This window comes from Homo sapiens, chromosome 17 (assembly GCF_000001405.40).
Source record: "Homo sapiens chromosome 17, GRCh38.p14 Primary Assembly".
Lineage (NCBI taxonomy): Eukaryota > Metazoa > Chordata > Mammalia > Primates > Hominidae > Homo > Homo sapiens.
This window is the reverse complement of record NC_000017.11, coordinates 10,125,340-10,145,547: the sequence shown is the minus strand read 5'-3', so window position 1 is coordinate 10,145,547 and position 20,208 is coordinate 10,125,340. Positions and strand designations below refer to the sequence as shown.

Genomic DNA, 20,208 nt, shown 5'->3' with positions numbered 1-20,208 from the left:
CTGTTTATCCTCAATGTTGCCCAGGACAGGCCACCAGGGCCTGGTTCTAGGGCCTTGTAAGGTTTCATCCAAGCCTCTACTGCCTCCTTCCTAGAGCTAACTTTTCTGACAGTGAGCGCCTGGAGAGCTCTTCGGGTCTTACACACTGCCTGAGCTTCCTCCAGTCACCTTTTCTTTAGATTCACCCAGGCATGACTTGCTCCAGAGGAACCCTGAAGTTCCATTTTCCTTCCTGTGTACTTTCCCCCGTGCTTCTCTGATATACAGAGAGTGTTTTCTTTCCTTTTGATGTGCACTTGAGCATTGAATGCAGGCGTCTCTGCGGTTCTTTTCCTTAGCAGTACCTGCCCCGGTGCTGCTGGCTGTCAGCCCCAGACACCAGGGCGTCTGCAGCCCTGAGCTGAGCCAGGCTGTCTGCCAGTGTGGGGCTGTGGATTTCTGTTGGTCTTCTCCTTTCTGCCTGGGGGCAGCAGCCATTCCTGCACCATGGCCCAGCCACCGTTTGGAACCTACTAACTCCTTCTGTCATGTATTGTTCCGTCCTTCCTCATCCAGTTGCCTGTCTCTGATTATGGTTTGGTTTCTAGAAGGTTCTAATCAGAGACGGGCAGGAACTATTGATCTGGCCTGTTGTACCTGCCATGCAGTTCTTACCTAGCTCAAAGACATAAAAGACTTTTTTTTTAGAAATGTAACAACTGGCCAGGCGCAGTGGCTCACGCCTGTAATCCCAGTGCTTTGGGAGGTCAAGGTGGGAGGATTGCTTGAGCCCAGGAGTTCAAGAACAGCCTGGGCAACATAGCAAGATCCTATCTCTAGAAAAAATGTTTTCCAAAATTATCTGGGCATGCTGGTGCATGCCTGTGGTCCCAACTACTTAGGGGGCTGAGGTGGGAGGATTGCCTGAGCCCTGGAGGTCAAAGCTGCAGTGAGCCGTGATTGCGCCACTGTACTCCAGCCTGGACGAGAGAGCATGTCTGTCTTAAAAGAAAAAAGAAAAAAAAGAAATTAACATCCACAGAAAAGGATTTGTGTAATAATTTACCAGATCCTTTCTTACCTGATACTGGGGATCTGCCGAGATTGGCCACTCATTTTGGGTTGATCTTAAAACTTTGATAGAATTTAAGGGCCCCAAAAATGCCTCTTGGGGCCTGTCCTGCTCTGAGCATGGTTGTTCCCCTTCACTTTGGGATAATATCACGGGCCCGACACTGCCTATGAGAAGCAGAGGCTCACCTGTCCTCCTGGGCGTCTTTCGGCAGCCATGGTCAGAACACATACCTGGCTCTGTTTTAGGGAGAGTAAAACTAGCAGGTGGGCACAGCTGCAAAGTCCCCAGCTTTGAACAGGACCCCAAAGGGGAAACAGTCACTAGCCTTCTCTGTACCCCACAGTCCTTGAGTTACTAGAGTCTCCTGCAATCACATCTTGCCAGCAGGCCTTGCTTTTCTGCCGCTCCGAGTCCCCCGTTCCCTGCTCCAAGCTGCTGGAATATGGAGCCCACTGCCTGGCAGAGCTCTGAGTATTCTTAGCTCTTCCTGCCAACAGCTTTGAGGCTCTGGGCTAGGTGGGGAATGGGTGGGGATGGGCCTACCTTAAGCCCCCTCCTTGTCACTTCCATTTTCCAGCACACTCACATGCTTGGCACTAACTGTGACACCCTCCTTGCCCATGCAACCTGACAGACACGTGTGAGTTTGCTAGGGCCACCTTAACAAAGTACCATGGATTGTGGGGCTTAAACAACAGAATCTGTTTTCTTGCAATTCTAGAGACTACAAGTCTGAGACCATAAATGTCAACAGGTTAGTTTCTTCTGAGGTCGCTCTTCTTGGCTTGTTTTCTCCATGTGTCCTCACGTGGTCCTCCCTCTGTACCTGTCTGTATCCTGTATCCTAATTTCCTCTTCTTATAAGGACACCAGGCATGTTGGATTAGGACCACTCTCATGACCCCATTTTAACCTAATTACCTTTATGTCCAATTTTTTTTTTTTTTTTTTGAGACGGAATTTTTCTCTCGTTGCCCAGGCTGTAGTGCAATGGCATGATCTCGGCTCACTGCAACCTCTGCCTCCTGGGTTCAACTGATTGTCCTGCCTCAGCCTTCTGAGTAGCTGGGATTATAGGGGACACACAACATACCCAGCTAATTTTTTGTATTTTTAGTAGAGATGGGGTTTCACCATGTTGGCCAGGCTGGTCTTGAACTCCTGACCTCAGGTGATCCACCCACCTCTGCCTCCCAAAGTGCTGGGATTGCAGGTGTGAACCACCACGCTTGGCCGCCTATCTCCAATTATAGTCACATCTAGAGTTACTAGGGGTTAAGACTTCAACATACAGATTTTTTTTGTCTTTTCTGAGACGGAGTCTGTCTCTGTCGCCCAGGCTGGAATGTAGCGGCACAATCTCAGCTCACTGAAACCTCCGAGTCCCGGGTTCAAGCGATTCTCCCGCCTCAGCCTCCCAGGTAGCTGGGATTACAGGCACCCACCATTATGCCTGGCTAATTTTTTTTTTTTTTTTGTATTTTTAGTAGAGATGGGGTTTCGCCATGTTGGCCAGGCTGGTCTCGAACTCCTGACCTCAGGTGATCCGGCCACCTTGGCCTCCCAAAGTGCGGGGATTACAGGCTAGATTTTTTGTTTTTTGGATTGGGAGGACACAGTTCAAGTTCATGACACACTCCCTGTTACTGATGTCTGAACCCCCGTGAGTTCAGCCTGCATCCTCATATAGAACTGTTTGGGTGGATCAAGGTTGCAACCAATTAAAAAATTATCTAAGTTTGAAATATATTGGGGATACCTCAGAATCTTTTTCTGTAAGAGTTATGATTGGTTTTAGTTCTGTCATTTTATGTTATGTTTTCTGTTTTTAAACCTTTAATAGGCCAGGCACGGTGGCTCATGCCTGTAATCCCAGGACTTGGGGAGGCCGAGGCGGGCTGATCACCTGAGGTCCTGGCGAACATGGTGAAACCCCGTCTCTACTAAAAATACGAAAATTAGCTGGTAGTGGTGGTGCGCTCCTGTAGTCCCAGCTACTCGGGAGGCTGAGGCCAGAGAATCACTTGAACCTGGGAGGCAGAGGTTACAGTGAGCCAAGATCGTGCCACTGCACTCCAGCCTGGTCAACAGAGTGAGACTCTGTCTCAAAAAACAAACAAACAAACAAAACCTTTAATAATATGTTATTTACTATATGATCAGTTTTATTGACTTTGTGTGTACATTTCTTCCAATAATTTGAAAGATTTACAATCTGCTTTTAGTTCTGGTAGTTATCTTTGTAACTACTATGTACCTTTTTTTGTTTTTTTTTTTTGAGACAGAGTCTCGCTGTGTCGCCCAGGCCGGACTGCAGTGGCCCTATTTCGGCTCACTGCAAGCTCCGCCTCCCGGGTTCACGCCATTCTCCTGCCTCAGCTGGGACTACAGGCACCTGCCACCACGCCCGGCTAATTTTTTGTGTTTTTAGTAGAGACGGGGTTTCACCATGTTAGCCAGGATGGTCTTGATCTCCTGACCTCGTGATCCGCCCACCTCGGCCCCCCAAAGTGCTGGGATTACAGGCGTGAGCCATTGCGCCCGGCCTACTATGTAACTTTTTAATATATGCCATCCTCAACTTTTTAGGCAGTGCCTACTGACTCATCACCATGAGCTTGACAGAGTTATTCTGAAAAGTGTTAATCTTAACAAAAATAACATTTATTATACTTTATTTTTAAAGAAAATGTAAAAGTTTAACCCTTTCCACAGTGTTGCATTGTATGGTATCTATCATACACATTTTAAAGGTGGGGAATTCAAGGTGTAGAGAGGTACCAGAACTTGCCCAAGGCCATTTATGTTAGTATCTGGCAGAGCTGGAATGTGCCCTGGAGTCTGTGATTCCAGAGCTTTGGCCTTGATGCTGCCTTGTTGGGCCTGCACATTTTAGGAAACTGCGTCTCCTCCCTCTTTGGAGCCGGGCTCTGTGGAGGGAGTAACTGAGAGCTGCAGGTCTTAGTGGGACTTGGATCTACCCTGGGAATCTGGGTGTGTCTCTTCAGGGGTGCTCAGGCACTCATTCAAGCAGTGGCCTTTTTTTTTTTGGCACAGTCTTGCTGTTGCCCAGGCTGGAGTGCACCGGTGCGATCTTGCCTCACTGCAAGCTCCGTCTCCCGGGTTCACACCATTCTCCTGCCTCAGCCTCCCGAGTAGCTGGGACTACAGGCTCCCGCCACCACGCTAGGCTAAATTTTTGTATTTTTAGTAGAGACGGGTTTCACTGTGTTAGCCAGGATGGTCTCAATCTCCTGACCTCGTGACCCTCCTGCCTCGGCCTCTCAAAGTGCTGGGATTACAGGCGTGAGCCACCGCGCCCGGCCCCTAAGCAGTGGCTTTAATATCCCCTTGATGTGACCTGTGAGCAGCTTCCCAAGGCAGGAAATTCCAGAAGTGAGTCAGGGCCAGGGCCCTGGAGCCACTTCCCTGGGTCCCCAGAAGCAGCCTTTCTGTGGCTGTCAGAGGGGCATAGCTGGGTGCACACCAGGGTGGGGCCAGTCCAGAAGCTGGCAGTATTGATGGAGACCCCTCTGTGTCCCACTCCCTGCTTGGGGGAGCCATTGAGGCATAGTGGCCAGTGTGGGACCCTGCATCTTTAGCATTTGTATCTGCAGTGTTGTGCACATACAAGTGACTCTTTTTGTTTTAATCTGTTAGCCTAGAGGGGCAGAGTAGCAGACTGAGTCTCCACGGCTTTCCACTACCCCAGCCTTCAGCATTCCATCTCCAGCTTCTCTAGGGACACTCCCACTCCATGACCACCTATTCTGTGGACTTACAGTGAGGAGCAATTAGCTGTGTCAGTCAGGGTTTGCATGGAGAAGCAGAATGAGTAGGAGAAACAGACAGAAACGTAGATGTAGGCATATTCATGTACATAAACACACATGCAGTTGTAGACACATACACTAGCTATATAGACATACGTGCATATAGCCACAGACACACATGTATATACACACATAGACATAGACACACAGGTACACACACACAAATGCAGATATACACATTTTTATTTATTGACTTATTTTTGAGACAGGGTCTCGCCCTGTCACCCAGGCTGGAGTGCAGTGGCAGTCACGGCTCACTGCAGCCTCAACCCCCGGACTCAAATGATGTTCCCACCGTAGCCTCCCAGGTAGCTGAAACCACAGGCATGCCCCACCATGCCTGGCGAATTTTTAAATTGTTTGTAGAGATAGGGTTTCCATATGTTGCACAAGCTGCTCTTGATCTCCTAGGCACACGCAGTCCTCCCGCCTTGACCTCCTAAAGTGCTGGGATTGCAGATGTGAGCCACCATGTCCAGCCCCTGCATTTTAAAAGAGAGTTTTTACAGAATATTAGTCTTATGTCATTGTGGGGCTGGCTAAGTAGTCTCTGTTGGGCTGTCATTTCAATGTCTGATGCTGGAGCTTGAAGTCTACGGGAAAGGTGAAGTTAAGAAGAGAAGATCATGAGCAGGCTAGAACCTGTGGGCATGAGCTGGAACCCCACAAGGATGGAATAAAATTGTCTTTGACTTTGATAGTGTGGGTATCCTGCAGAATCTGGGGCCCTGTGTCATGGACCTAACCAATGTATCCTGGCTCAGGGGTTGGATAAGCTGACAAAAGCTCCAGGAGAGGGTGGAGCAGTTGTGGGCCTAGCCACTGCTTTATGCCAGTGAGGCAAGTCAGCAGATCAGCAACAATGTGTTTGAGCTGCAGAATCTCTGCTTCTTCCCTTTCCCGCACCATATCTCCCAGAAATCTTCCTGTGGTCTACGCTAAGCAGAATGTATAAGGAAAGGAATTCTGGGAACTGAAGTTCAGCCTAGCCATGTTGACACAGTAGAAAGCCATCACATTGCTAGAAGATTGAGTGAGCTGGTAGGAAGACAGTAGGCTTGGGAGTCAGAACTATTTAAATTGTAATCCTGACTTCCTTGCTGTGTGAAATTATCTGATCTGTGCCTCTTCATTAGTGGGGAATAATAATACAAATTGCAGAGTTATTAATTAGATTAAATGGAATTAAGAATGTTGAGTATCTCACTTTGCTCCTGGACCTGGGATAAGAAATCTCAGACCTTTCACAGTTCTTGATACTAACCAGGAACATAATATCTCTACATAATTAAGTTAGACTCTGTCCCCTGGACAAATGGTTTCTTCACGTAGGGCTTGTATGTTCCTTGTGTTAGGTTTATTCTTAGGATGTTGATAATTTCTTCTTGTTATTGTGAGTGAAATTTAGTTATGTTTTAAAATTGGTTATAGATGATACATGGTTCCAGAATGTTGCTAATAAATAGCTGTGTTCCTGTCTTTAGTGGGAATTCCTCTGGAGTTTCCTCATAACTCCGATACTGGCTGTTGGTTTTAGATAGCATTTATATTTTCTATTTAGCATTTTAATGTCCTTTTTGTGTCTGTTTTTCAGTGTCTTCCTGGAGAATATAAAACTAGGCTGGCGCTAATACCAAGAAGAGGTATTTTTAAAGGCACAAATAGATGTGGGATTTTATCAAATGATGTCTTGTCAGCATCTCTCAAGATGATCATATATTTTTTTCATTTTTGAAATATTAATATGATTAACAATATGAATAGACTTTCTAGCAGGATAGAATATTGAAATCCAAGGTGACTTGATGGAAAGAGCATAGGACAGAGTACCTGGAAACCTCGATTCTAGTTCTAGGTTTGTTTTTTTTGTTTTGTTTTGTTTTTGTTTTTTTTTGAGACGGAGTCTCTCTGTGTCGCCCAGGCTGGAGTGCAGTGGCACGATCTCGGCTTACTGCAACCTCCACCTCCCGGGTTCAAGCGATTCTCCTGCCTCAGCCTCCTGAGTAGCTGGGATTACAGGTGTGCACCACCATGCCTGGCTAATTTTTTTTGTACTTTTTAGTAGAGACGGGGTTTCACCATGTTGGTCAGGCTGGTCTCAAACTCCTGACCCCATGATCTGCCCACCTCGGCTTCCCAAAGTGCTGGTAATACAGGCGTGAGCCACTGCGTCCAGCCTCTAGTTTGGTTTTTTAATTTCAAATTTGACCTGGACAAGCCAGTATGTTTTATTATTCCCTTTAACAAATATCCCACATTCATATTTCCTTTTCTGTAAAATGGCGATAGTTATGCATGTCCTCCCTTCCTTACTAGGGAGTTGGAAGGATAATCATGAGTTAAGAAGTCCTTCCTTTACATTTATTTAAGTGCCTTCACATCTGTAAAAGAACTTTGGCCGGATGTGGTGGCTCACGCCTGTAATCCCAGCACTTTGGGAGGCCGAGGCGGGCGGATCACGAGTTTAGGAGATCGAGACCATCCTGGCTAACATGGTGAAACCCGGTCTCTACTAAAAATACAAAAAAAAATTAGCTGGGCGCTGTGGTGGGCGCCTGTAGTCCCAGCTACTCGGGAGGCTGAGGCAGGAGAATGGCATGAACCCGGGAGATGGAGCTTGCAGTGAGCCAAGATTGTGCCACTGCATTCCAGCCTGGGCAACAGAAGCAAGACTCCGTCTCAAAAAAAGAAAAAAAAAACCTTGAAAAAAGTATAAAATGAAGGGACCTGATCTTATTTACTGTACCTTGGTCAACCAAAAACTCTTTCCTTTCCCTCCCTCCCTTCTTCCAACAAATATTTATTAAGAAACTTCAATGTGGTCTGGCGCGGTAGCTCACGCTTGTAATCCCAGCACTTTGGGAGGCCAGGGTGGGCAGATGACCTGAGGCCAGGAGTTCGAGACCAGCCTGACCAACATGGCAAAACCCCGTCTCTACTAAAAATACAAAAAATTAGCTTGGTGTGGTGGCATGCACCTGTAATCCCAGCTACTTAGGAGGCTGAGGCAGGAGAATTGCTTGAACCCAAGAGGCAGAAGCTGCAGTGAGCCAAGATCCTGCCATTGTACTCCAGCTTGGGCAACAAGAGTGAAACTCTGTCTCAAAAAAAAAAAAAAGAGAAAACTTCACTGTGCTAGGAATTGTTCTAGACACAGGGAATACAGCAGTTACAAAGTAGGCAAATTCCCTGCACTGTGCAGCTTACATTCTAAGAAACAAACACTCATATACATGTCAGCTAAGCTATATATACTATGAAGATAAATAAAGTGGGGGAGAGGGGTGAGGGTGAGGGGGGCAGGTTGTGGGGAAGTTTACTTTAAATGGGGTAGTCAGAAAAGACCTCTCTGAGGTGACATTGGAGCAGAGAACTTAATGGAGAGGGAATGAGCCATATGGAAATCTGGGGAAGAAGGTTCCAGGCAGAGGAAACAGCAAGTGCAAAGACCCTGAGGAATGGCGGTGATGCCCACGAAGCTCGAGTTGGGTGAGCAGGTAGGAGAGGGAGAGTATTTGCGGTCTCTCTCTCTCTCTTTTTTTCTTTTTAAGCTGGGTCTCGCTCGGTTGCCCAGGCTGTAGTGCAGTGGCGTGATCTCAGCTCAGTGCAACCTCTGCCTCCTGGAATCAAGTGATTCTCCCACCTCAGCCTCCTGGGTAGCTGGGACTACAGGTGTGCGCCACCATGTCTGACTAATTTTTTGTAGAGACGGGGTTTCGCCATCTTTCCCATGCTGGTCTTGAACTTCTAGACTCAGGTGATCCTCCTGCCTCAGCCTCCCAGAGAGCTGGGATTTTTACAGGCGTGAGCCACGATGCCTGGCCAGATTTGAGGTCTAAGAGGTCAAAGAGGGTCAGATAATGGAGGAATTTGTGTCCCTCCCACTGTTTTTTTCTAAGCGTGAAGGGAAGCCTTTGGAGGCTGGTGAGCTGTAGGCGACACAATCAGTCTTCGTGTCTTGCAGGATCACGCTGGCTGCCCCATGCAGAATAGGTTGAAGCTGGTTTTAAATTGAGGCAGACGGACAGATGCGAGGGGTCACTCAGTCTGGGATGATAACAGTGGAGATGGTGTCATGTGGAGGATTTGAGTCCCTTTTTGCAGGAGGTGCTGTCTGGATTTGCAGTGCATTGAAGATCTCATCTTTGGGACAGCTAGTTGGCTTTTCCTGTGAGAAGAAAATGCATCAGCCGCGCTGCCTTCCCCAGTCTGGAAAATCTGGCTTGCCTTTTCCACAGCACCGTTGATGCGGAGTTGGGAGAAACCCCGAGCTTAGCCCCAGCAACTCTCCAAACCTCTGGCTGGACTAAGTGTCAAAAATAACTAAAGGGTTTGGATGTCCCCAGGAGAAATTCTTTTCTGAGGCCCAACCCAGAAACAGATTTCATGGTTTGATCTGATACCCAGAGGAAGTGGCTCCCCACTCACCCAGCCTCCCCCGTGGATCTGGGGAGGCTTGTTCAGAAAGGAAGATGAGCAAGTTGGCCTCATGCCACACAGTTACAGTTTGCATTAGTCATAGGACACTTCGCCATGGGGACATTGTGATTAATTAATAGAAGACGGAGACAACATTTGGGAGGCATTTGTTTTTATTCGGAGTGTCTGGTCCCTTCAGACGGTCCTTGGTGTTGTTCCGAGCTGAACCACCCCCCTGCTCAGTGGGGCCAACTCGCTAAGTCATGCTCTTGTTCTTTAAACTGTCTCCCCACATCTGAACTCCAAAAAGTCTCGTCTTCATCTCTCCCTAATATTACAGCCTCAAGTCTTCCCCTACTGTTTTCTGCTAAGTTGAGTTCTCTGTTGATCTTCTGCTGACAATTTATTTCCTTCTCAGAGCATAGGCATCCAGGCCTGAGCATTGAAAACATCCTCCTTTGCTGGTGGGTACCCCCCTCCCCCCAGTTCGGAGGTCTGTGGATGTCTGCAGTGGGTCTCATAAGCTTATTGGACATGGAGCTCAGAGGTGGTACCAGAGCTGTGGGTGGATAGGAAAGAAAAAGAAGGCATTGTGCCCTCTCTGCTGGCTTATTCCCACCACGTGGAGATGGGAAACCACACATTAAAAACAACATTAAAAGACGAGATCAGGAACTTAAACAGATATAAACCAGCAGAGCGTGATGGGGGCATTTATAGCTGCTCACCCCCTTAATCGAAGAGAAATCTCTCGGGCGGGCTCAGTCCCTGGACTTTCTGGTGAAGAGCCAGTCTGAGCAATGGACAGAGGGACAACATTGCAGAGGTCTGAAAAGCTGGTTTTGAAGCAGAAGGTGGGACTTGACTCTGGAGGTGGGCCTTGGACACCCAGCCAAATTGAAGACTAGCTAAAACAGAGGCAGGGTGGAAGCAGCTTTCCAAAACACACACCCACCACTGCGCCAGGTCATTTTACCATTGCCATGGCAACACCTGGGGATTACTGCCTCTTTCCATGGCACTGACTGAGGACCCCAGAATTACCACCTTTTTCCTAGAAATTTCTGTGTAAACTGCCCTTTAATCTACATGTAATTAAAAGAGGATGTAGGCCGGGCTGCGTTGGCTCACACCTGTAATCCTAGCACTTTGGGAGGCCGAGGCAGGTAGATCACAAAGTCAAGACATCAAGACCATCCTGGCCAACATGGTGAAACCCCGTCTCTACTAAAAATACAAGAATTACCCGGGCGTGGTGGCACGCACCTGTAGTCCCAGCTACTTGGGAGGCTGAGGCAGGAGAATCACTTGAACTTGGGAGCCGGAGGTGACAGTGAGCCGAGATTGTACCACTGCACTCCAGCCTGGCGATAGGGCGAGAGACTGTCTTAAAAAAAAAAAAAAAGTGGATGTAAATATGAGTGCAGAACTGCCCCGAGCTTCTACTGTCTGCCCAGGGGGTAGCCCTGCTCTGCAGCGGCGGTCACAGGGCTATAGTCACAGGGCTATAACCCTGTGGCTTCAATAGAGTTGTTTTCTTCCATCCTACCACATGGATTGCCCTTGAATTCTTTCCTGGGGGAAGCCAAGAACCCTTATGGGGTAGGCCCCACTTTGGGGCTCACCTGTCCTAGATCAATTTCAGGATAAGAGAAAGGGCCAGTCCTTGTAGAGCAAAAGGGATCTTTGCACAGTGTTGGTGGGGAATATAAATCAGTTCAGCTATTACGGAAAACAGGATGGAGGTTCCACAAAAAATTAAAAATAGAATTACCATACTATCCAGGGATCCCACTACTGGGTATATATCCGAAGGAAATAAAATCTATATGGAAGAGGCGTCTGCCCTCCTGTGTTCATTGAGTCCTGTTCACAATAGCCCAGAGAGGGAATCCACCAATGAATGAGTGGATAAAGAAAATGTGGCTCACACCTGTAATCCCAGCACTTTGGGAGGCCGAGGCGGGCGGATCATGAGGTCAGGAGATCGAGACCATCCTGGCCAACATGGTGAAACCCCGTCTCTACTAAAAATACAAGAAAAATAGCTAGGCGTGGTGGATGGTGCCTGTAGTCCCAGCTACTCGGGAGGCTGAAGCAGGAGAATGGCATGAACCCGGGAGGCAGAGCTTGCAGTGAGCGGAGATCGCGCCACTGGACTCCAGCCTGGGCGATAGAGCGAGACTCCCATCTCAAAAAAAAAAGAAAAAAGAAAATGTGGTACAGGTCAGGCATCCCAAATCAGTGCTGTCATGATGCTCAAAGAAAATGGTCATTGGAGCATTTTGGTTTTGGATTTTTGGGTATGGAATGCCCAACCTGTATATATACACAATGGCAAACTATTCCACCTTAAAAAAAGAGAAAATCCTATCATTTGTGACAACATGGATCAACCCAGAGGACATTATGCAAAGTGAAATAAGCCAGGCCACAGAAAGATAAATACCATGTGATCTCATTTATATGTGGACTCTAAAAAAGTTGAACTCATAGAAGCAAAGAGTAGAATGGTGATCACCAGGGGCTGGGTGGGGTGGGGCTATGGGTTGCGGGTGGGGAATATGCTGGTCAAAGAACACAAAATTTAGTTAGGAGGATTAAGTTCAGGAAATGGTGACTATAGTTAATAATAGCGTATTATATTTTAAAAATTGCTAAAAGAGTGGATTTTAATTGTTCTCACCACAAATAAGTATGTGGAGTAATGCGTAGATTAATGAGCTCAGTTGAGCCACTCCACAGTGTATGTACACCATAAATATATGTTGTACACCATAAATATATACAATTTTAATTTGTTAATTAAAATAAAATCTGGCGAGGCGCAGTGGCTCACACCTGTAATCCCAGCACTTTGGGAGGCCGAGGCAGGCAGATCACTTGAGGCCAGGAGTTCAAGACCAGCCTGGCCAACATGGTGAAACCCTGTCTCTACCAAAAATACAAAGTTTAGCTGGGTGTAGTGGCACCTGCCTATAATCCTGGCTACTTGGGAGACTGAGATAGGAGAATCACTTGAACCCAGGAGGTGGAGGTTGCAGTGAGCTGAGTGCCACTGCACGATCTCAACCTGGGCGACAGAGCGAGACTCCATCTCAAAAAAGAAAAAAAAAAAATATAAAAATATATAATCTAATTATAAAATTTGAAAAAAGTAGACAGGACTGATTTTGAAGGGAGGGGTATATGTGAGAGAGTTGGTCTGTCTGTTGGTCTGTGTGTCTTTCAGAGAAGGATGCCTGCAGGGGAGAAAGACCAAGTCAGAGGGGCTTGGGAGGAATTTAAAGTCTTTCGGTGAAAAGAAGGAAAGGGATGTTGGGGTGGAGGTCGGAGGTGCAGCTGCTAAGCCTGTGAGTCAGTTTGAAAGAAGGGGATGAAATTTTAAATGTTGCTACATGTTATGAATGAAGCCCCTCCCCCAGCCTTTTTAAAAGAGACTTTAAAGATTAAATTGCTTTAAAAATGATTTTTTTTTTTAGTTGAGACAGGGTCTTACTCTGTCGCCCAGACTGGTACAATCTTGGCTCACTGCACCCTCCGCCTCCTGGGTTCAAGCGACTCTCGTGCCTCAGCCTCCCAAGCAGCTAGGACTACAGGCGCGCACCACCATACCCGGATAATTTTTTTGTATTTTTAGTAGAGACGGGGTTTCGCCCTGTTGGCCAGGCCAGTCTCAAACTCCTGGCCTCAAGTGATCCACCCACCTCGGCCTCCCAAAGTGCTGGGATTATGGGCATGAGCCACCGTGCCTGGCCAAAAATAATTTTTGAATGATGCTTGAGTGATGTTTCTTTAAATGTGATACCACATGGAGACGGAGTCAGGCCCGAGTAGACAAAGACTGAGATGATGGGTGTGCACGTAGGGTGGTGGGGTGAGGTTGAAGATCAGCAAGTTAGACCAGGTTTAAAAGGAAGAGGCATTCTTCAGGGGAGAAGGTGCCAGCTATCATCACCTGAGCAAAGATCAGGTAAATCTGAATAAGAAGTATTTAGTTATGGGCACCAGATGTTTAGGAAACAAAAGGGGTAAGTGAAAGAATTGTGAGTACGTGAGCACGTATCCATACGTTCACGAGTACATGTATTCATACATTCATGCGTACATTTTCATGCAGTACTCATGCAATCATTGAGTACATTTTCATACCTTCACGAGTACATGTATTGAGTACATGTTTTTATACATTTGTCAGTACATGTATTCATATGTTCATGAGTACGTTTTCATGCATTAACATGTTTTTATACGTTCATGTTTTAATACACTCATGAGCACATGTATTCATTCATGAGTACCTTTTCATGCAGTCAGTACATTTTTATACATTTATGACTACATGTTTTCATGCATTCATGAGCACATTTTTATACATTCATGTCATGTTTTAATACACTCATGAGCACATGTATTCATTCTCGAGCCCGTCTATTTATGTATTCATGAGTACATGTTTTCATACATTCATGAGTATATACATTCATGAGCACATGTATTCATACATTCATGAGTACATGTATTCACTGAGTACATGTTATATGTTCATGAGTACATGTATTCATACATGCAGGAATACAGGAATACATGAGACTTTGTTTTGTTTTCTTTTGTTCTTTTGAGACAGAGTCTCGCTCTGTTGTCCAGGCTGGAGTGCAGTGGTGTGATCTTGGCTCACTGCAACCTCCGCCTCCCGGGTTCAAGCGATTCTTGTGCCTCAGCCTCCCAAGTAGCTGGGATTACAGGCATGTGCCACACGCCTGGCTAATTTTTGTATTTTTGGTAGAGACAGGGTTTTGCCATGTTGGCCAGGCTGGTCTCAAACTCCTGACTTTAAGTGATCTGCCTGCCTTGGCCTCCCAAAGTGCTGGGATTACAGGCGTGAGCCACCACACCCTGCCCAGGAATACATGAGACTTTGAAGTTCTGATTGCTAACCCAAGCAATGTTGGCTGTAATTATCAGGCCCCGCTGTGTTCAGAAACTTAAAGTTTAGGTGGGAAAGTAAAACTCAGTAATCATAGGTAAACAGAGACCAAGTAAGCGCTGCTCTTCGAGGTCTAGATATAGCTGTGGCAAGAGGCACGCTGGGGAGGAAGAAAAGTTCTGGGTAACCTGGAGGGGTCAGGGAGGAGTTTCAGAAAGTAGTCGTGGCCTTGGCTTGGGTGTGGAAGTAATAGCAAACTCAGCAAGATACCTTTTATGTTTTGATAACGGCTTTATGGAGATATAATTTGCATACCATTCAATTCACCCCTGTAAAGTGTATAAATCGGTTTTTAGTACATTCATGGAGTTGTGCAATCATTACCATCATCAATTTTAGAACATTTCCAGCACCTCAAAAAGCAATGCCATTCCCATTAGCAGTCACTTCCCGTTCCCCCCAACCACGCCTTCCTTAGGCGGCCACTTATCTATTTCCATCTGTATAGATTTGCCTATTCTGGGGATTGCTTATAAATAGAACAATATAATATGCAGCCTTTTGTGTCTGGCTTGTTTCACTTAGCAGAATGTTTTTGAGGCTCTTTCTCCTTGTAGCATGTATTAGGACTTCATTTCTTTTTATTTCTGAATAATGGTTCATTGGTTTGGATAGATCACGTTTTGTTTATTTGCTCATCAGTTGGTGGGCATCATTTGGTTGGTTTCTACTTTTTGGCTCTTTAGGAGGAATCCTGGTATGAACGTTTGTGTACATGTTTTTGGGTGGACATGTGTTTTTAATTTTCTTGGATGTATATCCAGGGGTGGAATTGCTGGGTCACGTGGTAAGTATGTTTAACCTTTTGAGGAATGGCCAGGCTGTTTTCCAAGGCTGCTGTACCACCAGGATCGTATGAGGGTTCCAATGCCTCCATATCCTTGCCAACATTGGTAATTATCTACGTTTTTTTTTTTTTTTTTTTAAATCATAGCTGTTCTAGTGGGTGTGAAGTGGTATCTCACTGTGGTTTTAATTTGCATTTCCCTGAAGACTACTGGTGTTGGCTGGCCATCTTTTCTTGTGCCTTATTGACCATTCATGTTTTTTTGTTGTTGTTTTTTGTTTTTTTTTGTTTTTTTTTTTGAGGCTGAGTCTTGCTCTGTCATCCAGGCTGGAGTGCAGCAGCACGATCTTGGCTCACTGCAACCTCCACCTCCCGGGTCCAAGAGATTCTCCTGCCTCAGCCTCCCAAGTAGCTGGGATTACAGGCGCGCGCCACCACACCTGGCTAATTGTATTTTTAGTAGAGACGTGGTTTCACCATATTGGCCAGGCTGGTCTTGAACTCCTGACCTCGCGATCCACCTGCCTTGGCCTCCCAAAGTGCTGGGATTACAGGCGTGAGCCACCATGCCCTGCCTCATGTATCTTCTTTGGAGAAAGGTCTATTTAGAGCTTTTGCCCATTTTGTAATTGAGTTACATTATCAATGTCTTTTAATTATTGGGCTGTAAGTGTTCTTTATATATTCTAGATAAAAGTCCCTTATCAGATACGTGGTTTGCAAAATTTTTCTCCCATTCTGTGGTTTGTCTTTTCACTTTCTTAATGATGTCCTTTGGAACACAAAAGTTAGTAATTTCAATAAAGACCAGTTTACCGATTTTTTCCTTTGATTCCTTGTGCTTTTGGTGTCATATCTATGAAGGCATCACCTAGTCTAAGAAGGTCATGAAGATTTACACCTATTTTTTTGAAGAGTTTTTTTGTTTTGTTTTTGAGATGGGGTCTCACTGTCACTCAGGCTGTAATGCAGTGGTGTGATCATAGCTCACTGCAGCCTTGACCTTCCGGTCTCAAACAATCCTCCCACCTCAGCCTCCCAAGTAGCTGGGACTACAGGCATGTGCCACCCTGCCCAGCTAATTTTTAAACCTTTCATAGAGATAGTGTCTTCCTGCGTTGCCCAGGCTGGTCTCAAACTCCTGAGCTCAAGTGATGCACCTACCTCAGCCTCCCATCGTTGCTGGGATTACAGGCATAAGCCATGGTGCCTGGCCAAGAGTGTTCTAGTTTTAGCTCTTACATTTAGTCTTTTGATCCATTTTGAGTTAATTGTATGCCGTGTGAGCAAGGAGTCCAGCTTCATTCTTTTGTATGTTTGTATCTCTCATCGCAGCAGTTTGTTGAAAAGATGGCCCTTTCCCCCATTGAGTGGTCTTGGCGTTTTTGCTATCAAGGCTCCTCTTACCTATGTTATTTATTTAAGTCAAAGGGTGAAAAAATGTCTTCTCATATATGTCTGCTGACCCACAGGGAGATACCAAATCAATCAGGATTATTTAGGTTAAAAGATCATTTGGTTTGGAATTTGAAAAAAGAAAAAGCAGGCCGGGTGCAGTGACTCACGCCTGTAATCCCAGCACTTTGGGAGGCCGAGGTGGGCAGATCACGAGGGAGGTCAGGAGATCGAGACCATCCTGGCTAACACGGTGAAAACCCATGTCTACTACAAATACAAAAAATTAGCTGGGCGCGGTGGTGGGCGCCTGTAATCCCAGCTACTCGGGAGGCTGAGGCAGGAGAATGGTGTGAACCCGGGAGGCGGAGCTTGCAGTGAGCCGAGATCACGCCGCTGCACTCCAGCGTGGGTGACTCTATCTCAAAAAAAAAAAAAAAAGAGAAAAGAAAAAGCAAAACGATCACTTATTTCACTGAAAATGAAAACAGGCAAGGGATGTTGTTGCATAAATGTAAGTAATGAAATGCTGGGTTTTATGTTCTGGCCTAGTTAAGGGGGTGAGAGGGGGAGGCATTTGGCCTCAGCTAGCTTTGGAATTCAATGATCTGTGGATTGATACTCAGAACTGATTGTATCAAGTATGGAATCCCGGGCTGTGGGTTTGTGGGTCTCCCATCCACCCCTCCCGTCCACTCCCTCTAATGGCTCCTGGGAGCAGCCAGAGGTCAGCACAGGGACAACCAGGCAGAGGGAACAGTCGTCTGTGGACTCTCCACAAGTTGTTTCTTGGCCTTGATTTAGGAAGGGGATTAGGAAATTGTTTCCTCTCGAAGTCTGCACCGCAGAGTGGAATCCTGGAGCACTGTGGCCTCCACCTCCCATGTGTGGGTTGGGCACTGGAGCCGCCCCGGAACTGCTGGTGAGGGCTGGGGAGGATGTACGCATGGCCTCCGTGTGTGACTCGGGGGCCCCAGCCGGGGTAGGGCCGAGCCCTGGCTCCCAGGCCTGGCTGGGCTCCCTGGAAACTGGACTGAATCCCTCGCCGGTGCTGCCTCCCCTCGGAGTCCATCCAAGCTGAACGCCTGAGAGCAGAGGATTAGCTAAGCCCCAGATGTTTAGGGGTCTGACTCAGTGTGTGTGTGTGCTCCGTTGAGAGCTTATGTGGCCCGAGTGGTGGTCCTGGAATTTGCTCAGATCTTTGCGTGGGTTCTGGTGTTTAATCAGCATTTCCAAGGAGATGCTTGGGATTCCAGGATTTACTCGATTTACTCAGAGATTCCTCTCCTAGTCCACTTCGCCTGGTTGGAGCTTGCCCAGTCTTGGGGGTTTAGGGGGACAGAGACTGGGGTCGGTTCACACCTTGGAGGGGGCCTTCTGCCCCTGCTTTCCATCAGAGCCCTGGAATCGGGGGATTTTCTGCGCAAGATCTGGTGTTTTCCTGGTTCAGATTAGTATCTTTAAAATTAAAATTCTTGAATGAGGATTGTGTCCTGCGGCCCTGAGTCTGTCCCTCTGTGAGTGCACAGCTAAAATACTTTCAGGGCTGCTGGGTGGGACTGTTTGATGAGGTGCTGGGGCAAAGAAAAATGGAGCGTTCCCCACAGGAACTTGAGCCCAGGTCTCCTCCAGGCCGTGGACTCGGTGTGCAATACTCCCCGCCTCCTGACCTGCTCATCCCCAGCTGGCACACTCACTTCCTGGGCCATGTTTGGTTCATCTTTACACAGCAGGCTGTGCAAAAGTGAGAGGGCAACATGGGGCCCCTGGAAACCAGGCGTTCCCCTGACGCAAGCTGAGGCTGCATCTGAGGAGGGGCTCGTGGAAGCACTGCTTTCTTCTTCCCAGGGCTTCCTGTTAACTCACTGTCCAGAGCCGTGGAAGGTTAAACTAACTTGATTTAGGGTTCAAAATGCAGGGAGCATCAGCCAGTCATTGGGAACACATGGCCAGCTGGAAATCCACACTCTCCCAATTGTGTAATGTTGCCAATTGATTTAAACTAACAACAACAACAAACAATGTAAGGTGCTGGCCAGCACCTACCAGCAGGCTGGCTCCAACCTTCAGGCCAGTAAACAGCCTGCACTCACACCCAGGTTTCTAGACTCCCAGCCTCTGATGCAATCTCCCTTCAAGGATACCAGGACTCTCTAGGGGAAGAAACAGAGACCCAAAGAGGTTAAAAAAGGTCACACAGCTTAAGCGGCAGAGCTGGGGTTTGAAGCCAGAACTGGTTCACTGTCTGCTGTGCTCTCACTGGGACTAGAGTCAGAGCCGGCTTGGTTCCGGAGCATAGTCTCTTCCCCGTGCCCCACGCTGGGACTGGCTCCTAACCCTCAAAAGAAGGCTGTTGTTTAACAAGTGAGTGGCTTCCCCGAATTCTGGGCACTTCTCAGGAGCAGGAGGAAGATCTTGAGAGAGAGAATATGTGTGTGCGCGAGTGTGTGAGTGTGTCTGCATGTGTGTGAGCGTGTGTGTGTGAATGTGTGTGTTTTCGAGAGTGTGTGCATGTCTGCGTGTGTGCGCTCTTTGTGTGTGTGCTTGTGTGTGCGTGTGTGATACGTGTTTGTGTGTATGTGAGTGGGTGTGAGTGTGCGTGTGTGCATGAGTGCGTGTGCGCGCGCGCGTGTGTGCATCTGCGTGTTTGTGTGTGCGTGTTTGCACGTTTGTGTGTGCATGTGCGTGAGTGTGTGGGTGTGTGTGCAAGAGTGTGTGTGAGTGTATGAGTGTGTGTGTGAGCGTGTGTGTGTGGCATGCACACATTCATGTGCATGTGATTTCTCTTTCCCTCACACCATTCATTAAGGGTTTCTTCCCTGAGAACTCCAGGAAGTTCCAGGAGAACGGACAGGATTAGAGCAAATACTTTCTCCTGTCTGAGAAGCGACTCCCCCATTTAACCCTTCCCCTTCCTTGAGTCCCTGGGACAATCACTGCTGGAGATTTGGTGGCCAGGGAACCCAAATAGTGTGGCCACCACCCCCGACCCCTGCTGTGGGTCCCTGGCAGGTCAGAGGGCTGCTCTGCGATGGGGGCCAGGGAACACATCAGCGCAGGCTTCATACTGCACAGATGGGTTGCACCCGTGGTGGTCAGAACGCACATGGAGCCAGCCTTGTCCAGCTCTCTCTGGCTCTGCTGATTCCAAGTCTGTGATAGGAATCGGGGCGGGTGTATGTGAGGGTAGAGAGGAGTGGAAGGGAAGTGTTTATATAAATAACACAGGGTGGAGGGGCTTCTGAAAGATTTACTAGCTAAATATTTTCCGGATGTTTTCATCATCCTTTAAGGCCCTTCCAGAGGAAGGCTAAACAAGACTTAGTCTAATTCCCCCAGTGGCCAGTGGCTCCCACCCACAGCTGACCCCCTCACACCCGGGCCTCATTCTCTACACCACCCTGCCCTCCTCCCTCCTCATCTCCCCATCACCCTTTACTCCCCTCTTTCATCCAACTGGGAAAGAAAGAACAATCCCCATTTTATCCTTTTATGATCATATTATACACACAGTTGTTTGACCTTTTTTTTTTTTCTTTTTTTTTTTAAGATGGAGTTTCGCTCTTGTCACCCAGGCTGGAGTGCAAGAGTGCAATGGCACCATCTTGGCTCACAGCAACATCTGCCTCCCATGTTCAAGCGATTCTCCTGCCTCAGCCTCCCGAGTAGCTGGGATTACAGGTGCACACCATCACACCCAGCTAATTTTGTGTTTTTAGTAGAGATGGGGTTT

The 20,208-nt window shown here is 47.3% G+C and overlaps 1 protein-coding gene across 1 annotated transcript in view, besides 1 other annotated feature; it reads left to right on the top strand.

Moving 5' to 3' along the window:
- The window catches only part of GAS7 (growth arrest specific 7), a 288,001-nt gene that overhangs the window by 53,059 nt on the left and 214,734 nt on the right, over positions 1–20,208 (top strand). The gene's annotated exons all lie outside the window — the stretch shown is intronic.
- Positions 17,581–18,298: an enhancer, noted in NCBI's record as "H3K27ac-H3K4me1 hESC enhancer chr17:10030567-10031284 (GRCh37/hg19 assembly coordinates)". NCBI's record gives its function as "activates a minimal SCP1, AML or CMV promoter by ChIP-STARR-seq in naive H9 embryonic stem cells {active_cell/tissue: H9 hESC(naive)}" and the evidence as "EXISTENCE:reporter gene assay evidence [ECO:0000049][PMID:30033119]".